Below are 21,780 nucleotides of genomic sequence, written 5' to 3'. Positions count from 1 at the left end.
TAAAGATCACGCAAACTCATACCTATAAGAAGTTGAATTATAATGTGAGCAAAAAAAGTAGATTAAAATAGCAGTGTTGGGCCGGACGCAGTGGCTCACACCTGTAATCCCAACACTATGGGACGCCAAGGAGGGTGGACTGCTTGAAGTTAGGAGTTCGGGACCAGCTTGGCCAACGTGGTGAAACCCCATCTCTACTAAAATACAAAAATTAGCTGGGTGTGGTGGCGGGTGTCTGTAATCCCAGCTACTCAGGAGGTTGAGGCAGAATTGCTTGAACCCAGGAGGTAGAGGTTGCAGTGAGCCAAGATCGAGCCACCGCACTCCAGCCTGGGCAAGAGAGTGAGACTCCGTCTTAAAAAAAAAGGGGGGGGCAGTGTTTAGCAACTGCCTTTTATATATTTTATATATAAATACAAGAGTATTTATCTATAGGATGTTATCTCCTTAAATAAACACACCATTCCCAATTCATTGACTTCATTGTTCCTTAGGGTCTACCCAAAAATAAAAACTAGAGCAAGTGAATGGCCAGCTTCGCATATCTACAAGCAGGTGAAAGGTTTGTCCTTTTGTGATTAACAGGCAAAGCTAGAGAGGGTCAATGTCCCAGTCAAGTAGGATAGGAGGGCTCCATTCTAAACAGAAAACAGAACCAGTACAAAAGCCAGGAATCACTACATAACACCTTGGCACACAACATGAAAGTCAGAGGGAAGGGCTACAGCTCAGGGAGCACCTGAACCTGAAAACATGGCCTGTGAAATATATTTCCAGGCAGTTGGCAATAAGGAGGCTGTTAACACGTGTGTCCGCTGTATCCCCTGCTGGGAAGTACATGTCCCCTCCTTCCTTCCTTTGCTTCTACCCTCTTGTCACCCTTCATTTTCACTTTCTTCACAGACCATGATATTACATAGATAACTGAAAGTATGAACTCTGTTGTCATTTATATGAAAAATGTACATCCTGCTTAAGAGCAGCAATAGAAGTTAGCAAGATTATAAGAATAAAAGGTTGTTTCATTTTTTTCTTGCCTCCTCCACCAATACTCCACATTGGTTACCCCCATATTGTGATCAAACTGGACTATTCACCATTTCCTGAACCTGCTTTTTTCCTACCCCACCCATGCTATGTTCTTAACTCAGAATCCTGTATACGGCTACCCTTCATCTCAGTCTAAAATATGCTATACTTTCTTCAAGGGCAGCAAAAATGGCATATCTAAGAAGCCTGCCAGAAAGAACTGATATCTCTTAATCTATCTTCAGGTGCTTACTCACAATTCTATTTACAAATACAATCACATCCTTGCATCATGCTTATTTGTGTATGTTCCCTCTTACTGCAGATAGAGGTTCTATCTGCAAAACCTTTCAGTGTAAAAATCATGTTTGTGCCAGGCGCGGTGGCTCATGCCTGTAATCAGCACTTTGGGAGGCCGAGGCGGGCAGATCATCTGAGGTCGGGAGCTCGGGACCAGCCTGACCAACGTGGAGAAACCCCATCGCTACTAAAAATACAAAATTAGCCTGGTGTGGTGGTGCATGCTTGTAATCCCAGCTACTCAGGAGGCTGAGGCAGGACAATTGCTTGAACCTGGGAGGCAGAGGTTGCGGAGAGCCGAGATTGCACCATTACTTACACTCCAGCCTGGGCAACAAGAGCGATACTCCGTCTCAAAAAATAATATTAAAACAAAAATAAATTAAAATCATGTTTGTTTTTTATGTTTCCATAAGAATTAGAGAAATTTGGCAGGGCTCAGTGGCTCACGCCTGTAATCCCAGCACTTTGGGAGGTGGAGGCAGGTGGCTCACGAGGTCAGGAGTTCAAGACCAGCCTGGCCAAGATGGTGAAACCCCGTCTCTACTGAAAAACAAAAAAACAAAAAAATTAGCCGGGCGTGGTGGCTGGTGCCTGTAATCCCAGCCACTCGGGAGGCTGAGGCAGAGAATTGTTTGAATCCGGGAGGCAGAGGTTGCAGTGAGCTGAGATCACGCCACTGCACTCTGGCCTGGGCAACAAAGCGAGACTCGTCTCAAAAAATAATAATTAGAGAAATTTAACCCTCAGTGTTGCTTTTAAGTTAAATAAAGGCTGGGTGCAGTGGCTCACGCCTGTAATCCCAGCACTTTGGGAGGCTGAGGCAGGCAGATCATGAGGTCAAGAGATCAAAACCATCCCGGCCAACATGGTGAAACCCCATCTCTCCAAAAATTACAAAAATTAGCTGGGCGCTGCAGTGCATGCCTGCAGTCCCAGCTACTCGGGAGGCTGAGGCAGGAGAATCACTTAAACCCGGGAGGTGGAGGTTGTAGTGAGCCGAGATGGCGCCACTGCACTCCAGTCTGGCAACAGAACGAGACTCCGTCTCAAAAAAAAAAAAAAAAAAGAGTTCAATAAAGATTGGAACTGAATGTCATCCTGAGCCCACGGTTTCAGCCCTATGTAAAACAATCAAAGGCATATCCCTTCGTTCCTCAGACTAATCAGTGTGCTGCCAGGCACCTGCAAATCTTCTGTTGCCTACTCCCAACACCAAGAGAGCCATGCCACTCCACAACACAGAGCCACTTGAAAACTTCAAGTATCCTGGATATTATTATTCAGCAATGTATTTAAAATAAAGTAAAGCCGGATGCAGTGGCTCACACCTGTAATCCCAGCACTTTGGGAGGCCAAGGTGGGCAGATCAGCTATCAGGAGTTCAAGACTAGCCTGGCCAACATGGTGAAACCCTGTCGCTACTAAAAATAAAAAAATTAGTCAGGCGTGGTGGTGGACACCTGTAATCTCAGCTACACAGGAGGCTGAGACAGGAGAATCACCTGAACCCGGGAGGCGGAGGTTGTAGAGAGCGGAGATCACACCATTGCACTCCAGCCTGGGCAACAAAAGCAAAATTCCATCTCAAAATAAAAATAAAATAAGAGAGTTTTCAGGCAAACTCTTCCCTGGGTATCCTGCTGTTTTATCTCCTAACAAAACAAATGAATCAAAATGTCGTCCACCTAGAGAGGAGAAGTAGCCCCCAATGTTTGGAGATTCTAAAGCATTACCTACACATGTGCTGTTGTCTCTTCTTAGCCTGCAGAAGAGATATAGGCCTCATCCCCATAGGAGACCAAACACCTCAAAAACCCAGATGTCAAATTTTCTAGGAAACTCTCTTGGACTGCTCAAAGAGTAAAATTTGATAGAAATAGGAAGCATTTGGCCGGGCCGGGTGGCTCACGCCTGTAATCCTGGCACTCCGGGAGGCCGAGGCAGGCGGATAACGAAGTCAGGAGATCAAAACCATCCTGGCCAACATAGTGAAACCCAGTCTCTACTAAAAATACAAAAATTAGCTGGGTGTGGTGGCGCATGCCTGTAACCCCAGCTACTCGGGAGGCTGAGGCAGGAGAATGGCTCGAACCCCAGGAGGTGGAGATTGCAGTGAGCCGAGATCGGGCCACTGCACTCCAGCCTGGCAACAAAGCAAAACTCGTCTCAAAAAAAGAAAAAACAAAAGAAATAGAAAGCATTCACTAGTGATTTATGACTGATATCAACTAAGATTACTTAGAATGTCTAGGATCACACCTGAGATATTACTCCTTACATTTCCATGAGACAATCCATTTACTGTGTGAAATATTTGTTTTCATTTGCTTTTTTTCTGGATTCAAATCCTGTAGGCAAAATCAGTTTAAAAAAATACAGAAGTGCCTTTTAAAGAATAAACAGCTTTGAAAAAATAGCAAATTCAAAAGGATAGTGGATTAAATTTCAACACTGACTTTAATCAAAATGAATTTTAGGCTGTTTAGATTCCCTGGACCTGTTTCTTAAATCTTTACCATGGGTGTCCACTATATAAGGTTTTTTTTTCAAGAAACAAATGAAACAACATGTAAAACATCTCAGTACGTTCCTAACACATAGGAGACCTATAAAAGTCAGTAATTTTTTTACAGTTTGTCTCTAGAGTACATTGACACTACATTCCTATAACTAGTTCTCGGTCTAAATAGAGTTGTCCAATATGATGGTTATTAGCCATATGTGACTACTGAGCACTTAAATTTGGCAAGTCCGAGATATGTGCTTTAAGTGTAAAATACTGGATTTCGAAGATTTAGTGAAAAAAGTAACAAAAAATCTTGTCAATATTCTGTATATTGATTACATGTGAAGTGATAATACTTTGGCTATTCTGGATTAAATAAGATATATTACTAAAATATTAATTTCACCTTTTTGGCTCACATATTTCTATTGGACGATCTAGTCTATACTTTGACTTCAAGCTGGTAATTATGCTCTTTTAACCACGCAGTGGACTGCTTGACAGATGTCACTCGGGCTAAGCCACCCCTTATCCAGCAGACACTGGCTCATTTTAACGCTCCCAACTTCCACAACCGGGGAAAGCTAGCGACCTAAAACTCTTAATTTTAAAAACACCAGATCCCACAGATCTGCTGAGGAAACGCGACTGTTACCAAGAGACAGAAATGTCTTGAAGGAAAAACCCCTGTGGGTGTCAGTCTACCGGGGGACTGGGAACTTCAGCAGAAAAAGTCCCCCTTAGGAAAGAGAGAAGGGGCGACAGAACGAGCAAATCTGAAGGAGCCCGATGTGGAGCCCACGGAGTGGAGGTCTGAGAGGGAAAAGCCTTTCGGCTTGTGAGGACAGGGGAAGGCAAGGGGGGGAGAGTCTGAAGCCAGCGGCCAAGGGGTTCTGCTCCAAGCCGGAGACTACAGAAAAGAGCAGTACCTTAAGAATCCCCCTCATCTTTGCCAGAAAGGGGCGGAACTCCTCGGGTGGCACCTCTGGATATAGCTGGCTCCGTAGCAGCTCCTCTGTGATGCCGGGGTACCCGTGGAAAGTGTCCTGGGCCAGCGCATTCAGCAGCCCGCTCAGGGGTTTGCCACCCTCAAGCTCGCCCGCCGCCATGCTCTGCGAAGGCCCCGCCCCGCAACAGCTGAGCCGTGCCCCGCCACGGCGGCCGAGATGTGCCTAAATAGCCTGTGCAAAACCACCACGGGGAACCTCGGGGAACCTGGAGGCAAGGCTTCCCCAGGGGTCAGAGTTGGCAGCTTACAGCTTTGCTCTGCAACACCCATCCCCTTAGGATACCTCCACGGAAATATCCGTTTGGTTCCAGTAGGGTCACTTTGCTTCCCCTGATCCCCTTCATCACTGCAGAGCCTACTGGAAAGAAAGATTGCTCGCAGAGATTACTGGAGATGGGGTAGCAGCCTATAAGTTTGGCAGTTTAATTTTTAGATGGCTGTATCTCATTCCAGGACTTGCCAACCCATTAACTGAATAGGATCGATCACTCAGATTTAATCTCTGCCTAATCCTTACCTGTCATCCTTTTTTTCAGGAAGTTTAACTATCTCCTGATTACATAATGTTTTTCTTTGGGTTGTTAATTGCCTTTTTATATACACTTGTCTTTCCAGCTAGATCAGTGGCTCTGATCCAATGTTCTTTTATATGACAAATATTTTAACACCTTATTTACTATCCTGAAATGAAATGCATAGCTAATATAACTTCCCACCCATATAATTTTTTAAAATCAATATATTATTCAGCCATAAAATGGAATAAAGTACTGATACATGCTACAACGTGAATGAGACTTAAAAACAGGATTAGTAAAAGAAGCCAGATATAAAAGGCCAAATATTGGACATCCATTTATATGAAATGTCCAGGATAGACAAATCCATGGAGACTGAAAGTAATGTAATAGTTGGCAGAATCTGGAGAAGGGGACGAATGGGTAGTGACTGTTTATAGGTACAGAGTTTCTTTGGGGCATGATGAAAACATTCCGGAAGTGGAAGCACAACCTTGTTAATATACTAAAACCCACTGAATTGTACACTTTAAAAGATTAGTTTCACAGTATGTGAATATCTCAATTGAAAAATCAATTTAATGACCTAATTGTAATTTATCATAAAATGAAAAGGAATTTATAATATAATATGTGTGTTTGGGTACACCTATACTAGTTGACTAAAAGACATACAAAGTAGCCAGATGTCTGCATCTTTACATCTTTATGTAGAACCACCTGTGACTTCTACAAATGCAAATTGATACAGGTGTGTGGTATTGGTGACTCCAGAGGGAGGGCAGTTGCTTCTGGTAACATGATGTTCTGAAATGTTAAGAACTGATGTTCTGAAATGTGAACAACAGTTGGTAAAGTTTACAACAAAAAACACTCTTTCCTCACTCTACAGTCATTGCAAAGCTGGAATATTCTGTATATATTAATGCTAAACTAAAAATACATTGTGTTGCCGGGCACGGTGGCTCACGCCTCTAATCCCAGCACTTTGGAAGGCCGAGGCAGACGGATCACGAGGTCAGGAGATCAAGACCATCCTGGCTAACACGGTGAAACCCCATCTCTACTAAAAATACAAAAAAATTAGCCGGGCCTAGTGGCGGGCGCCTGTAGTCCCAGCTACTCGGGAGGCTGGGGCAGGAGAATGGCATGAACCTGGGAGGTGGAGCTTGCAGTGAGCCGAGATCACGCCACTGCACTCTGTCGCCTGGGTGAAAGAGGGAGACTCCGTCTCAAAAAAATAAAATAATAATAATAATACATTGTGTTTCTATATAAAATAGAGTTTGACTTTAGGCTTAGATAATAACAAACAGGTTTTTCACCTTTATGAACGTACCCTGCATGGGAAGATGTCTTATATATCTGACCTCTCTCCCACCTATTCCATTCCTACCCTTCCTTCAAAGTGACAACTGAGGTCGGGCATGGTGGCTCACGCCTGTAACCCCAGCACTTTGGGAGGCTGAGGTGGGTGGATCACCTGAGGTCAGGAGATCGAGACCAGCCTGGCCAACATGGTGAAACTGAAAATACAAAAATTAGCCAGGCATGGTAGCACATGTCTGTAGTCCCAGCTACTCGGGAGGCTGAGGCAGGAGAATTGCTTGAACTCAGGAAGCAGAGGCTGCAGTGAGCAGAGATGGTGCCACTGCACTCTAGCCTTGGGGACAAGAGCAAAACTTCATCTCAAAAAAAAAAAAAAGTGACAACTGAAATGCCCCTTTCAAGGCAGTGCCACATTGTTGAGAATCTACTCATCTAGACTACTTTAATTAATGTTTATCCAGTAAAGAGGTATTCTTTTTTTTTTTTTTGAGACAAAGTTTTACTCTGTTGCCCAGGCTGGAGTGCAGTGGCACAATCTCGGTTCACTGCAACATCCACCTCCCAAGTTCAAGTGATTCTCCTGCCTCAGCCTCCCAAGTAGCTGGGATTATAGGCATGCGCCACCACGCCCAGCTAATTTTTGTATTTTTTGTAGAGAAGGGGTTTCACCATGTTGGCCAGGCTGGTCTCAAACTCCTGACCTCAGGTGATCCACCCACCTCAGCCTCCCAAAGTGCTGGGATTACAGGTGTGAGCCACTGTACCTGGCCAGAGGCATTTTTTACAATAGAAAAAATATATTTCTTTTCCTAAAATAATTTTATAAAAGGCAAATTCAGAGTTGCTTCCATGGCTCCAAGTAAACCAAACTTAGTGACAAACTATAGATTGTTTTACATGTACTTACAGAAGTTGCAGAGAATGGTTGGTGAAAAAGAAAAAGCATAAATCAAAAGGTGGCAAGCAGAAAAAGCACTATTAAACACGTAATTTACAAATTACCCACCAGAAAGGCTGCACCTATTTCTATGAAACCTTAGTAACACTGACTGATATTATTCTTTTAATTTCATTTAATTTAATTTTTGAGACAGAGTCTCACTCTGTTGCCCAGGCTGGAGTGCAGTGGCACGATGTTGGCTCACTGCAGTCTCGACCTCCCAGGCCCAAGTTATCCTCCGATCTCAGGCTAAGTAGCTGGGAATATGAGCACACACTACCGTACCCAGCTATATTATTCTTTATAACCTTTGCCATATGATACATGAAAAATATTATCTCACTGTTTTAATTCGCATTTCTTAAATTTTGAGAGTAAATTTTTTTTACTATATTTATTGGCTGCTTATATTTCTTCCTATTTCCTTGTCCATTTTCTATAGGGGTTTCTGTCACTTCAGTGATTTCTTTTCTTTTTTTTTAAGGTGGAGTTTCGCTCTTGTCGCCCAGGCTGGATGGAGTGCAATGGCATGATCTCGGCTCACCACAACCTCCGCCTCCCGGGTTCAAACGATTCTCCTGCCTCAGGCTCCCAAGTAGCTGGGACTACAGGCGTGCGCCACCACACCTGGCTAATTTTTGTATTTTTAGTAGAGACAAGGTTTCACCATCTTGGGCACGCTGGTCTCGAACTCCCGACCTCGTGATCCACCTGCCTCGGCCTCCCAAAGTGCTGGGATTACAGGCGTGAGCCACCGTGCCCGGACACTTCAGTGATTTCTAAGAGCTCTTTATGCATAGAAATATTAGTGCTTGTTACCTACATGCAAATATTTTCTCCATGTTTATATAGTCAAATCTAGGCCGGGTGCGGTGGCTCACGCCTGTAATCCCAGAACTTTGGGAGGCCAAGGTGGGTGGATCACGAGGTCAAGAGATCGAGACCATCCTGGCCAACATGGTGAAACTTCATCTCTACTAAAAATACAAAAATTAGCTGGGCGTGATGGCGCGTGCCTGTAGTCCAGCTACTTGGGAGGCTGAGGCAGGAGAATCGCTTGAACCCAGGAGGCAGAGGTTGCAGTGAGCCAAAATCATGCCACTGTACTCCAGCCTGGTGACAGAGCAAGATTCCGTCTCAATAAATAAAATAAAATAGAGTCAAATCTATCAACCTACGTAGAAAAAGTCTGGAAGTTTATTCACCAACATAGTTATAGTGTACATCTCTTAGTAACTGAGGATGGCTTTCTGCTTATCTGATTTTTCTAAATATCTACAGTGTACATGTAATACTGTTGTAATAAAAAGTTATTTAATGAAAAAATTAAATAAGTAGTAGGTCCTAAAATAAAATTATTTTTTGTGGGGGGACAGAGTGTCACTCTGTTGCCCAGGCTGGAGTACAATGGCAGGATCTCTACTCACTGCAACTTCCACCTCCTGGATTCAAGCAATTTTCATGTGTCAGCCTCCCTAGTAACTGGGATTACATATGCACACCACCACGCTGACCTAATTTTTGTATTTTTAGTGGAGATAAGGTTTCACCATCTTGGCCAGGCTGGTCTTGAACTCCTGGCCTCAGGTGATCCACCCACCTCGGCCTCCCAAAGTGCTGGGATTACAGGCATGAGCCACTGCCCCCAGCAATAAAAATCTTTCAATGAAAGCTTTAAAGGACATGTGTATTCTACATTGCAGAGAAAAGCCATGAACCTTGCTTTTTTTAAAAAAATGTGTTTTGGTCGTGCGCAGTGGCTCACACCTGTAATTCCAGCATTTTGGGAGGCCGAGGCAGGCAGATCACCTGAGGTCAGGAGTTCAAGACCAGCATGGCCAACATGGTGAAACCCTGTCTCTACTAAAGATACAAAAATTAGCTGGGTGCGGTGGCAGGTGCCTGTAATCCCAGCTACTCAGGAGACTGAGACAAGAGAATTGCTTGAACCCAGGAGGTGGAGGTTGCAGTGAGCCGAGATCACGCCACTGCACTCCAGCCTGGGTGACAGAGTAAGACTGTCTCAAAAATAAAAATAAAAATAAAAGTGTTTTAATTTAAAATTTTTATTTTCCATGTCCACTGAATATGAATCTTAAACTTTTTGATATTACTAGATGCTTTCAGAATCTGATAAAAGCCTCAGACACTTTCTCCCCAAAATATAAACACCCACCAAATGTAGCCTACAATATCTATTGGCTACTTTATCCCTCAGAAGTCTTTCTATAAACCCCCTAGTTTTCCATGGGTCCTGACTGTAAACTAAAAATAAAATCCTAAGCCTCCCACTGAGTGAACAGACCTCCTCTTGGCCAAGGGGACCCCAGAGAAACCTGAAAATTGTGTTTCCACCCATAACAGGAAGAGATCAGACATTCATCCTTCTACTTCCTCCCTTTTAGAGTTTAGACACAACTGACTGGCATTAATGTTAAAATAGGGATCATAAGACTCTGTGGCAATAAGATACCAAATTATAGAAAGACCTAAGGCCATGCAAGGCAAGAGTTAAGTCATGCCTGCAGGCCATCAGTCTTGCTGAATAGGTCATTTTGACGCAAAATATTGTGGCTAACTCTGACATAGCATCCTTATCTTCAACATTTCTTTCTTCTGACTCCAAGTTTTAGACAGAGCCTTATGACTTTAACCAATTGCAAATTAAACAATCTCTGAATCCACCTGTAACTTGTAAGTCCCCACTTCAGCATATCCTGACTTCTTGGACCGAACCAATGTACACCTTCCATGTGTTGACTTACATCTTTGCCTGTAACTCCTGCCTCCCTGAAATGCATAAAATTGTAATCTGACCACCTCAGGACCACTTACTCAAAGTTCCTTGGGTTTGTGTCTTTCCCAGGCTGTGATCAGTCACATTGGCCCTGAATAAATATCTAAAAAATTTTACAGAGTTTGGTTTTTCTTTTAACATGACTAAGAACTCCTGAGTACTCCCAGCTCTAATTAACCTTCACAAGAAATACATTACTCTTTTAGAAGCAAGTGAAAATACAGGCTGGGCGCGGTGGCTCACACCTGTGATCCCAGCACTTTGGGAAACCAAGGTGGGCGGATCACTTGAGATCAGAAGTTCAAGACCAGCCTAGCCAACACAGTAAAACCCTGTCTCTACTAAAAATACAAAAATTAGCTGGGTGGGGTGGCACACGTCTGTAGTCCCAACTATGCAGGAGGCTGAGGCAGCATAGCTTGAGCCAGGGAGGTTGAGGTTGCAGTGAGCTGGGATCACGCCACTGTACTCCAGCCTGGGCGACAGAGCAAGACTCTGCCTCAAAAAAACAAACAAACAAAACAACAAGAACAACCAAAAACATTGCTATCATTATTTAACTCCTACTCAAATGTATGTGTAGAAGAGGCAAAATTTTACCTCTGCCCTCTTAGGGTTTTTTGGCTGGACTCGAGAATTAAACTTAACATTAAGACAGGTTAACAGGAGAAAGACATACAGACTTATTTAATATAAGTTTATATTATTTAATATAATGTATGACATGGAAGCCCTCATAAGTAAATGAAGACCCACAAAAGTGGGAACACTTAAATGCTTTTATATTAGGATGAACAAAGACAGGCAATGGCAGAAAAGTAACTAAACTATGTGGGGAGGCTAAAGGAAGATAAAAATTATTTTAACAAGGTCTGTTTGTACAGAATTTTCTCAGTCTCAACTTCCCATCCTTGACAATAAGAATGTTGCCTTCCTTCTGGTAAAGGGAGGACATCTTCCATATGGGGGTTTTATCTCCTGCTTTAAAGAAGAAAAGGGGAAGAATCAGAGTCCCTTCTTGCACCTATTTTTTTTAATGTGTCTTTAGCTCAAAATAATCCTTATGCCAAAGTGGCATATTTTGGGATAGCATATTCTGCCACATATCACTGGACATATTACTGCCTGCCTGAGCCTACAGCACGTTCCAAAATATCAGAGTGAGCAATAACATAAATTCCTGTGCCACCAGGGGCTGCTATTGCCAATGTAACTGTTGAAACTTGGTAGCAGCTGCATTTTTAGAATGGCTTTCAAGCAAAAGGATCCAAGTACAAAGTTTTATTTTATTAACTCTCAAAACAACCTATTTTGTAGATAACAAAGCTGGGTATAGGCCTATTAAAAGAATTGTCTAAGGCAAGGAAACGGTAAGAAAAAGACCCTGAAGCCTTGATGCAAAGGGAAATTATAAATACCTAACTAAGCCCTCCTTGTAAACAGGTTTCCTTTCTATTGTGGCCAAATAGGTTTTCATCCTAAGTTCCATTAAGCAACTGGTCCCAGGCAAGTAATAGGTGTTTTTTTAATGAGGTTTTCCACCTCTGAAAACATTAAAATATTATATAAAACGTGAACTGAAATGTGTGCAAACCCAAGGGCCCCAAAGTTTTACAATGAGCTCTACCTGCCCTCTGTCTCCATTCTACTTTCTCCAATTCTGCTGTTATTAACATTCACCCTTCGCTCAACTGGCCACTCAACAGATTTTATTTTCTTGAGACAGGGTCTCACTCTGTCATCCAGGCTGCAGTGCAGTGGCGTGATCCCAGCTTACTGCAAACCCAACCTCCCTGGCTCAAGCTATCCTTCTGCCTCAACCTCCCGCATAGATGGGACTACAGATGTGTGCCAGCCCGTCTAGCTGATTTTTAAACTTGTTTTAGAGACAGAGTCCCACCATGTTGCCCAGTCTGGTCTCCACCTCCTGAGGTCAAGTGATCCTCCCACCTTGACCTCCCAAACTGCTGTGATTACAGGTGTAAGCCACCATGCCCCAGCAACAGGTATTAGTTGAGAGCATTTGCAATCCATTCTTCTTGGCTCCAGGAGATACAGAAATGAATGACTGTCTCTGCCTTAAAATCTTACATTCTGGTAAGGGAAAATTACATGTAAATAAATTATTAAAATACAATGGACTGAGTTGTTATTACTTAGTACCTAAAAGTAGCTATCAGGTTTGCTGGTAGAAGAAGATTCCATTAATTCAGCTGGAGTAGGTCAGGAGAGGCTTAATGGTGAATATCAGAATATGCTGCAGATGAAATAACTCGTCCCTATATATGGAGGCATGAAACAGAGTGAGGTGTTGAGTCCTCTGTAAATAGTATAGCAAGAATGGAACCAGGAGCCTAGGGTAATAAATCTGAAAAAACAGACAGGGCCTAGGACATAGGGATAAAGAGTTTACATGTAATGGCCAATATATATATATTTTTTTTAAAGACAGAGTTTTGCTCTTGTTGCCCAGGCTGGAGTCTAGTGGCGCAATCTTGGTTCACTGCAACCTCCGCCTCCTGGGTTCACGCGATTCTCCTGCCTCAGCCTCCTGAGTAACTGGGATTACAGGCATGCACCACCACGCCCAGCTAATTTTTTGTATTTTTAGTACAGACGGGATTTCATCATGTTGGCCAGGCTGGTGTCAAACTCCTGAACTCAGGTGATCCACCCACCTCGGCCTCCCAAGTAATGCCAATTTTTATACTTAACCATTGGGAAGTGTAGAGAAGGAAAAATCTTTCCCCTTCCCATCTTAGGGTTCTTGGCTGGAGCTCTGTAACAAAACACAACTTAACAAGAGAAAAGCATACAAATTTGTTTAATATAAGTTTTACATGACACAGGAGCCTTCATAAGGAAATGACCCAAAGAAGCAGTTTGAGCCATATGATTATATGCTAAGTGGGACAAAGAGTAGTAAATTGTGAAAATATGGACTTGGTCTAGGGTAGTTAATCATGGAGAAGTGACCAGGAAGATAAGAATTCATTTAACAAGGTTTTTTAATACAGATTTTTTATGGCCTTGATTCCCTATTTCTGGTGTTAAGAATATCCTCTAGGTGGGCACAGTGGCTCACGCCTGTAATCCCAACACTTTGGGAGGCTGAGGTGGGTGGATTGCTTGAGGTCAGGAGTTCGAGACCAGCCTGGCCAATATGGTGAAACCCCATCTCTACTAAAAACACAAACATTAGCCAGATGTGGTGGCGGGCACCTGTAATCCCAGCTACTCGGGAGGCTGAACCATGAGAATCACTTGAACCTGGGAGGCGGAGGTTGCAGTGAGCCGAGATCAAGATGGTGCCACTGCACTCCAGCCTGGGCGACAGAGCAAGACTGTCTAAAAAAAACAAAAAAAAAAAAAAAAGAAAAGGAAAAAGAACACCTTTCATATGTGAGTTTTATCTTCTGCTTCTGCTTTCAGGAAGAAAAAGTCAAGTCAGAGTACCCTTTATGCATCTGCTGTTTTTTAGGTGCTTTTAACTCAAAATAATCAATAAGAACCAGAGTAGCTTATTTGGGGTGGTGTGTTCTCAACTACTTCAGGAGTCCCTGAAGAGTTGTAAGCAGAGGAGTAATAACAAGATCAGATTTGGGGTTTTGTTTTTTTCTGAGATAGGGTCTCACTCTGCCACCCAGTGCAGTGGTGTGATCCTATCTCACTGCAACCTCGAACTTCTAGGCTCAAAAGGATCCTCCTGCCTCAGCCTCTCGAGTAGCTAGGACTACAGGTGCAGATCACTGTGCCCAGCTAATTTTTTTTTTTAGAGACAGGATCTCACTATGTTGCCCAGGCTGATCTCAAATTCCTGGGCTCAAGCTATTCTCCTGCCTCAGCCTCCCAAAGTGCTGGGATTACAGGCATGAGCCACCTCACCCAGCCAGATTTGAGTTCTTAAAAGATCCCTCTGTGGTAGCAGTGTGGCAAAGGAACTGGAGGAGGCCCCACTTCCCAACGCTGTTGCATTGGAGATTAAGTTTCCAACACATGAATTTTGGAGTGGACAAAGATATTCAAACCATAGCAGTTTCCTTTGATGGTGTCATGTTTACCTGAGTCTTTGTTATCCATGTAACTTTGCATTGGTGTTTATGTATTTAAAGCAACAAACACCTCTTCCAGTCTTTATAGACTAGTTTTAGCAGGAAAAGGCCTTCTCCTATTGGGTCCCTGAATTGATGGGATGGCACTCAAATGGGGTTGGAGCTGGGTCCACAGTGGAGTTCACAGTTGGCAAGCTTGTTACCATGGGCTCTAATGGGTGTGGATCCTGTCTGGTCCATGGGTGGACTGGACTGCCCCTAGGACCTTGGTCAGTAGGGCTGGTGTTGGGATGGAGGTCTGCAGACAATGCGCCTATTACCAGATGCACAGACTGGTGTGGCTTCCTCCTGTTTCCTGGTAAGCTTCCTGCTAGGTCACTGGGTGAGTCCTTGGGCAGGCAGTACTGGCCCTAACGGTAGTTAAGAGGGGCTGGAACCAAGTCATTGGGCTGCTTCAGGGTCCACAGGCAAAAGTGAAATCTGCAGGCCTGCTTCCTGGGGCATGGGTAGCATATCACCCCTGGGTCTCTTTGCGGGCAGGATTGCTCTCAGAGGAGGGCTGGGGCTGAGACTTAGAGCTGTTGCAGGGTCTGCTATGAAACTGATGTTGGTGGGCCTTGCCACCTGAGACACAAGTAGTTATGACTCCTCCAGATCCCTAAGCAGATGGTCTAGTAGCAGGACCAAGGCCAAAGAGGGCTGTAGCCAGGTCCACAGGGAGGTAGCACCATTTCCAAGTCTGGAGCTGCAACCTCGATCAACGAGTCTGCTACCTGGGTGCGGTTCTGCTGTCTCAAAACAGCCTTCCTGGATCTTGGGCTCCACAAGTGTTTCACAGTCTCCTACCTAGTTCCCAACAGAGGTACTTTTATCTGTGGACAGCTGAAAAGCTAAAAACTATTGTCGCTGTGGGGAGACACAAGTGAGGCAGCTCCTGGTCTCCCATTTTGCTGATGTCACTCTCCTGGCTGTCTTAAATCTCTCACTTTCTTAAATCTCTCTTATTCCATAAGTTACCCTTTCATCTTCATTGTTGCTATTGTTAATTTTCTTGCAATTTATTTATAGGTCATTTGTCCTAAAGAGTTTTTCACATTCTACATTTTACTGATTGCATCCTCATGGTACTATTTTAAAAATATATTCTTCTAGACCAGGTGTAGTGGCTGACACCTGTAATCCCAGCACTTTGGTAGGCAGGTGGATCACCTGAGGTCAGGAGTTTGAGACCAGCCTGGCCAACGTGGTGAAACCCTGCCTCTACTAAAAATACAAAATTAGCTGGGCGTGGTGGTGCATGCCTGTAATCCCAGCTACTTGGGAGTCTGAGGCAGAGAACTGCTTGAACCTGGGAGGTGGAGGTTGCAGTGAGTCAAGATCGCACCATTGCACTCCAGCCTGGGCTACAGAGTGAGACTCCATCTCAAAAAAAAAAAATTTTTTTTTTAATTAAAAAATATATAAATATATATATATCATCATTCTATTTTTTTTAATTTAGCTTGCAATAGTAACATGAAGCAGAGGCCTAGTTTCATTAAGTATATTTTGATTTTCTTAATTTTCCTTGAAACGTTTCTAGTCCACATTTACGTCACATTTCACATTAACAAATACAAGAAATCCTTGTATTTCTTGTAAACCCATACATTGGTAGTTGGATCTAGGAACTTGATTAATATTTTTTTTTTTTCATTCTTCCAGCAGGATGTGTATAAAGTCAGCTTGCCTCACTTTTTTAGGCTGGGAATGGTGACTCACGCCTGTAATCCCAACACTTTGGGAGGCCAAGGCGGGTGAATCACTTGAGACCAGGAGTTCAAGACCAGCCTGGCCAACATGGCAAAAACCCATCTCTACTAAAAAAATTCAATAGCCAGTTGTAGTTGCACGATACTGTAGTCCCAGCTATTTGGGAGGCTGAGTGAGACAGGAGAATCCATTTAACCTGGAAGGCAGAGGTTGCAGTGAGCCAAGATCGTGCTACTGCACTCCAGCCTGTGTGACAGAGCAAGACTCCATCTCAAAAAAATAAATAAATAAAGTCAGCTTGTCTTACTTTTTAAAAACAATGATGGGGTTTTGCTATGTTGCCCAGACTAGAGTTCAATGGCTAGTCACAGGCACAATCATAAGAGTGCATCCTTTAACTCCTGGGCTCAAGCTGTTCTCTTACCTGAACTTCGTGAGTAGTGGGACTACAGGCACACACCACTGTGCCCAGCTTGCCTTACTTTTTGTATTGTGCCCCACCACATCCTGGACCCCTAAAACAACACTCATGTCTTTTGCCCACAAATTTGCAATTTTTCTCAATTTTTTTTTTTTTTTTGAGATGGAGGTTCTTGTTGCCCAAGCTGGAGTGCAATGGTGTGATTTCAGCTCACTGCAACCTCCGCCTGCCAGGTTCAAGCAATTCTCCTTCCTCACCCTCCTGAGTAGCTGAGATTATAGGCATGTGCCACCATGCCCAGCTAATTTTTGTATTTTTAGTAGAGACAGGGTTTCACCACGTTGGCCAGGCTGGTCTCGAACTCCTGACCTCAAGCTATCTGCCTGCCTCAGCCTCCCAAAGTGCTGGGATTACAGGCGTGAGCCAAGGCGCCCGGCCTGTAACTCTTGTTAGTACTACAATAATGAAAGTTTAGTTCATTCCTGTTTTTCGATAGAAAACCTGGCTGTTTACTCACACATCACAAAACTTCTAAGTTTGCCAGCACCCTCCTTTGGCTTTTCCTCTTCCCATTTTCATTTTTATTTGTTTTTCTTAAACTTTTAAATTTTTATTTTTTACTATTGCCAACAATCAACCTCTTCCCATTTTCAGACAAATATTTTAACTGGGAAGGTTAGAAAGTAACAAAAATGTTAACTAGAAACCTTTCTAGGAAAATTAGGAAAATCAAAATATACTTAATGAAACAAGGCCTCTGCTTCATGTTACTATTGCAAGCTAAACTTAAAAACATAGAATGAGGCCAGGCATGGTGGCTCACACCTGTAATCCCAGTACTTTGAAAGGCCAAGGTGGGCAGATCACCTGTGGTCGGGAGTTCGAAACCAGCCTGGCCAACATGGTGAAACCCCGTCTCTACTAAAAATACAAAATTAGCCGACCACGGTGGCGCATGCCTATAGTCCCAGCTACTCGGGAGGTTGAGGCAGGAGAATCACTTGAACCCGTGGAGCAGAGGTTGCAGTGAGCTGAGATTGCGCCACTGCACTCCAGGCTGGGCGACAGAGCGAGACTCCGTTTCAGGGGGGAAAAAAAAAGAACGATGCAAACAGTAAGGCTTAGGAAAACGGGGCTTAATGGTGGTCTCGATAATAAACTAATGCAGAGAAAAATACAAAATAACAACAAACACTGTCTTTGAATTGGAGTAAAACCTAAGAGAGATAAGATACATACAGCCCTCTCTTCTTTTCTTTTCTTTTTTTTTTTTTTGAGACAGAGTTTCCCTCTTGTTGCCCAGGCTGGAGTGAAATGGCACGATCTCGGCTCACCGCAACCTCCACCTCCCAGGTTCAAGCGATCCTCCTGCCTCAGCCTCCCCAGTAGCTGGGAATACAGGTGCATGCCACAACACCGGGCTAATTTTTTGTATTTTTAGTAGAGACAGGGTTTCACCGTGTTAGCCAGGATGGTCTCAATCCCCTGACCTCAGCTGATCCACCCTCCTCCGCCTCCCAAGGTGCTGGGATTACAGCATGAGCCACCGCACCTGGCCCCTCCTCTCTTCTTTTCTAACCTTAACCAGTTCCTGGCTCAGTCCTATTATTGAGGGTCTAGGACATCGTGGGCTATTCATTCTAAAGAGAACCTTCATTTGGATGGCTGACAAAGTATTATTGTTTTGTAAAACCTATTTCATAAATTATTAAGGAAATTGTATTGTTATTGCCAACATTCCCACATATGCCTTACGTCTGCTTGGATCTGACAGGAAAGTATTTTTGTTTGTTTGGTTTTGTTTTGTTTTGGAAAGTATTTTTTAAATATAGGAAAGCTGGCCGGGCATGGTGGCTCATGCCTTTTATCCCAGCACTTTGGGAGGCCAAGGCAGGCGGATCACCGGGTCAGGAGATCGAGACCATTCTGGCTAACACGGTGAAACCCCCTCTCTACTAAAAATACAAAAAACTAGCCGGGCTTGGTGGTGGGCGCCTGTAGTCCCAGCTACTCAGGAGGCTGAGACAGGAGAATGGCGTGAACCCGGGAGGCGGAGCTTGCAGTGAGCCGAGATTGTGCCACTGCACTCCAGCCTGGGTGACAGAGCGAGACTCCATCTCAAAAATAAATAAATAAATAAAAAATAAATATCAGAAAGTTTTAAAAACATTTTTACCCTTCATTAGCAACAGTGCTTTGCTTAAAGTACTCTACACAAGTGTTTATGTTTTTGTTTTGTTTTGAGATGGAGTCTCACTCTGTCGCCCAGGCTGGAGTGCAGTGGCATGATCTCGGCTCACTACAACCTCTGCCTCCCGAGTTCAAGTGATTCTCCTGCCTCAGCCTCCCGAACAGCTGGGATTACAGGCATCTGACACCACGCCTGGCTAATTTTTGTATTTTTAGTAGAGATGGGATTTCACCATCTTGGCCAGGCTGGTCTTGAACTCCTGTGATCCACCCACCTTGGCCTCCCAAAGTGCTGGGATTACAAGTGTGAGCCACCACGCCCGGCCATGTTTAGGTTTTAATATTTGTTGAAATCCCATTTTAATGGAGAAATAATGTACATTAACACTCTGATGAAAGCCGATGTTTAACATTTATTTACTGCCTAATCCCACGAACAAAAATAATTCCAATTTCACAGAAAAAGAAATGTTTGTAACTTGAAACATTTCAGATACTTAAAGCATGTCTCAAAACTTTAAGACTCTCCCAAGAAGCCAATAATGGCATCTTCCAAATTCTGCTCTGTCCTTTATGGCTGACAGATCGACTCCTTACACTGGTAGAACTAGTAGTTTAGTAAGCCCCTAGAGATCATCTAGTTCAACCCTCCTATTTTACAGATGAGGAAAATGAGACCCAAAGGATTTAAGTGGCCTTCCTTAGGTCACATAGCTAATAAGTAGCAGAGCTATTAATAAACTCAAATCCAGTATTTTACATCCCAAAATTAATGCATTTCCTCATCACCCACTTGTTTCCAACATATTACATCAGTTGTCTAAACAAATAACCATAGAATTTATGTGCTACTTGGGAGTATTCTGGTCCTCTGAAGAGAAGTCGGCCTCAGAGGTTTATGGATCTTCATTTCCTAGTGCTAATATCCTTCTTTTTTTTTTTTTTTTTTTTTTGAGACAAAGTCTTGCTCTATCACCCAGGCTGGAGTGCAGTGGCGCAATCTCGGCTCACTGCAACCTCCACTTCCTGGCTTCAAGGGATTCTCCTGCCTCAGCCTCCCGAGTAGCTGGGATTACACCCCCGGTTAATGTTTTGATTTTTAGTAGAGACGGGGTTTCGCCACGTTGGCTAGGCTGGTCTTAAACTCCTGACCTAAAGCGATCCACCCACCTCGGCCTCCCAAAGTGCTGGGATTACAGGCGTGAGCTACTGAGCCAGGCCCCTAGTGCTAATATGCTAAATGTGTGTTAAAGAACAACTTGGCGAGGTGGCTCTCGCCAAGCCTGCAATCCTAGCACTTTGGGAAGCCGAGGCGGGCCTATCACCTGAGCTCGGGAGTTCGAAACCACCCTGTCCAACATGGAGAAACCCCGTCTCTACTAAAAATACAAAATTAGCCGGGCATGGTGGTGCATGCCCGTAATCCCAGCTACTGGGGAGGCTGAGGCAGGAGAATCGCTTGAACCCGGGAGGCGGAGGTTGCGGTGAGCCGAGATGGTGCCACTGCTCCAGCCTGGGCAACAAGAGTGAAACTCCGTCTCAAAAACAAACAAAAACAAACAAACAAACAACACCACCACCACCTCATAATTACAAGATTAAGTACCTTTGAACATTTGTTTCTGAACCTACCACACGCAACTGTCACTTTGCAGGTGCTTAATAATTGTGAGCGAACATTCAACAAACCTCATTTCATAAACTTCCCTACTGAAATATAGTGGTCATAGGAGACCAGCAGTTTAGCTCATGGCTTCTGGTCCTTGCTTTGTATTGGAATACTGCTTCTATCTACTGACTCGTTTACCCTGGGCTTCAGTTCCTTCTTTGGGCTCCAGTTCTCTCACCTTTTAAGTAAAGGATTATTGTGAGGACTAAACGAGATATAAAACGTGTAAAGGTTTAGCACTGTGCTTAGCAGATAACGGAAATAAATGATCTTTATTATAATGTTTACGTTCCCTAAGAGTCAGTGGCTACGTCATGCAGGAGACACTAGTGTAGAACAAGCGGGCGGTGGTAACTAGACAGACCTGATTTGGCAGTCTGTCAAACCTCCACCACCCAGTATCAACCAATACGAGATAACTAACCTCGCCTCATTCCAAATCTCCCTTTTCTGACTCCCTTTCAAAATGAACAAAACTGCATAAAATGCAGGTCTATGTGGCCGGGCAAAAACAGACTCAGTCATATCCCTTAGAGAGTTATTCCGGCGCCCACCCCACCTCGCGGATAGATCCAGCCGGAGTTAAAGGAGGGCACCTCCGGGTGGGCGCGGTGGCTCACGCCTGTAATCCCAGTACTTTGAAACGCTGAGGAGGGTGGACCGCTTTGAGCCGGGGAGGTCAGACCAGCCTGGGCAACACAGCGAAACCCAGTCTCGCTATGTTTCGAATACAAAAATTCGCTAGGCATGGTGGCGGGCACCTGTCGTCCTGGCTAGTTGGGAGGCTGTGGCGGGAGGATCGCTTGGGCCCCGGAGGTCGAGGCTGCAGTGAGCCAAGATCGCCCCACTGCACTCCCGCCTGGACGACAGAGCGAGACTCTGTCAAAAAAAAAAAAAAAAAAAAAAAAGGCCGGGCTTCGTGGCTGACGCCTGTAATCCCAACACTTTGGGAGCCCGAGGCGGGTGGATCACCTGAGGTCGGGAGTTCGAGACCGGCCTGGCCAACATGGTGAAACCCTGTCTCTACTAAAAATACAAAAATTAGCTGGGCATGGTGGCGGACGCCTGTAATCCCAGCTACTCGGGAGGCTGAGGAGGATCGCTTGAACCTGGGAGGCGGAGGCTGCAGTGAGCCGAGATTTTGCGCCACTGCACTCCAGCCTGGGCAACAGAGTGAGACTGTATCCAAAAAAAGAAAAAAAAAAAAAAAAAAAGGAGGGGACCTCATAGCCGTGCAAGGTGGAGTGAGGAAATGCGGATGTCCT

General features: G+C 44.2%; 1 protein-coding gene across 5 annotated transcripts in view, besides 2 other annotated features; it reads right to left on the bottom strand.

Moving 5' to 3' along the window:
* The window catches only part of COMMD1 (copper metabolism domain containing 1), a 247,668-nt gene that overhangs the window by 225,433 nt on the left and 455 nt on the right, over positions 1-21,780 (bottom strand). For 2 of the 5 annotated variants that reach the window (NM_152516.4, XM_011532558.3), the window contains exon 1: positions 4,768-4,952. The exons of the other annotated variants lie outside the window; for them this stretch is intronic. In NM_152516.4, the coding sequence (NP_689729.1) occupies positions 4,768-4,947 (180 nt within the window). In that variant the 5' untranslated portion in view covers positions 4,948-4,952. Of the gene's footprint in view, positions 1-4,767; positions 4,953-21,780 lie in introns of those variants that run through there. 5 annotated transcript variants of the gene reach the window in all.
* Positions 4,701-4,890: an enhancer, noted in NCBI's record as "active region_15843". NCBI's record gives its function as "activates an Ori minimal core promoter by ATAC-STARR-seq in GM12878 lymphoblastoid cells {active_cell/tissue: GM12878}" and the evidence as "EXISTENCE:reporter gene assay evidence [ECO:0000049][PMID:35858748]".
* Positions 20,701-21,260: an enhancer, noted in NCBI's record as "H3K27ac-H3K4me1 hESC enhancer chr2:62116501-62117060 (GRCh37/hg19 assembly coordinates)". NCBI's record gives its function as "activates a minimal SCP1, AML or CMV promoter by ChIP-STARR-seq in naive H9 embryonic stem cells {active_cell/tissue: H9 hESC(naive)}" and the evidence as "EXISTENCE:reporter gene assay evidence [ECO:0000049][PMID:30033119]".

Source organism: Homo sapiens, chromosome 2, assembly GCF_000001405.40.
Source record: "Homo sapiens chromosome 2, GRCh38.p14 Primary Assembly".
Taxonomy (NCBI): Eukaryota; Metazoa; Chordata; class Mammalia; order Primates; family Hominidae; genus Homo; species Homo sapiens.
Note: the sequence above shows the minus strand (reverse complement) of the source record. Positions and strands in the feature narration are given on the sequence as shown.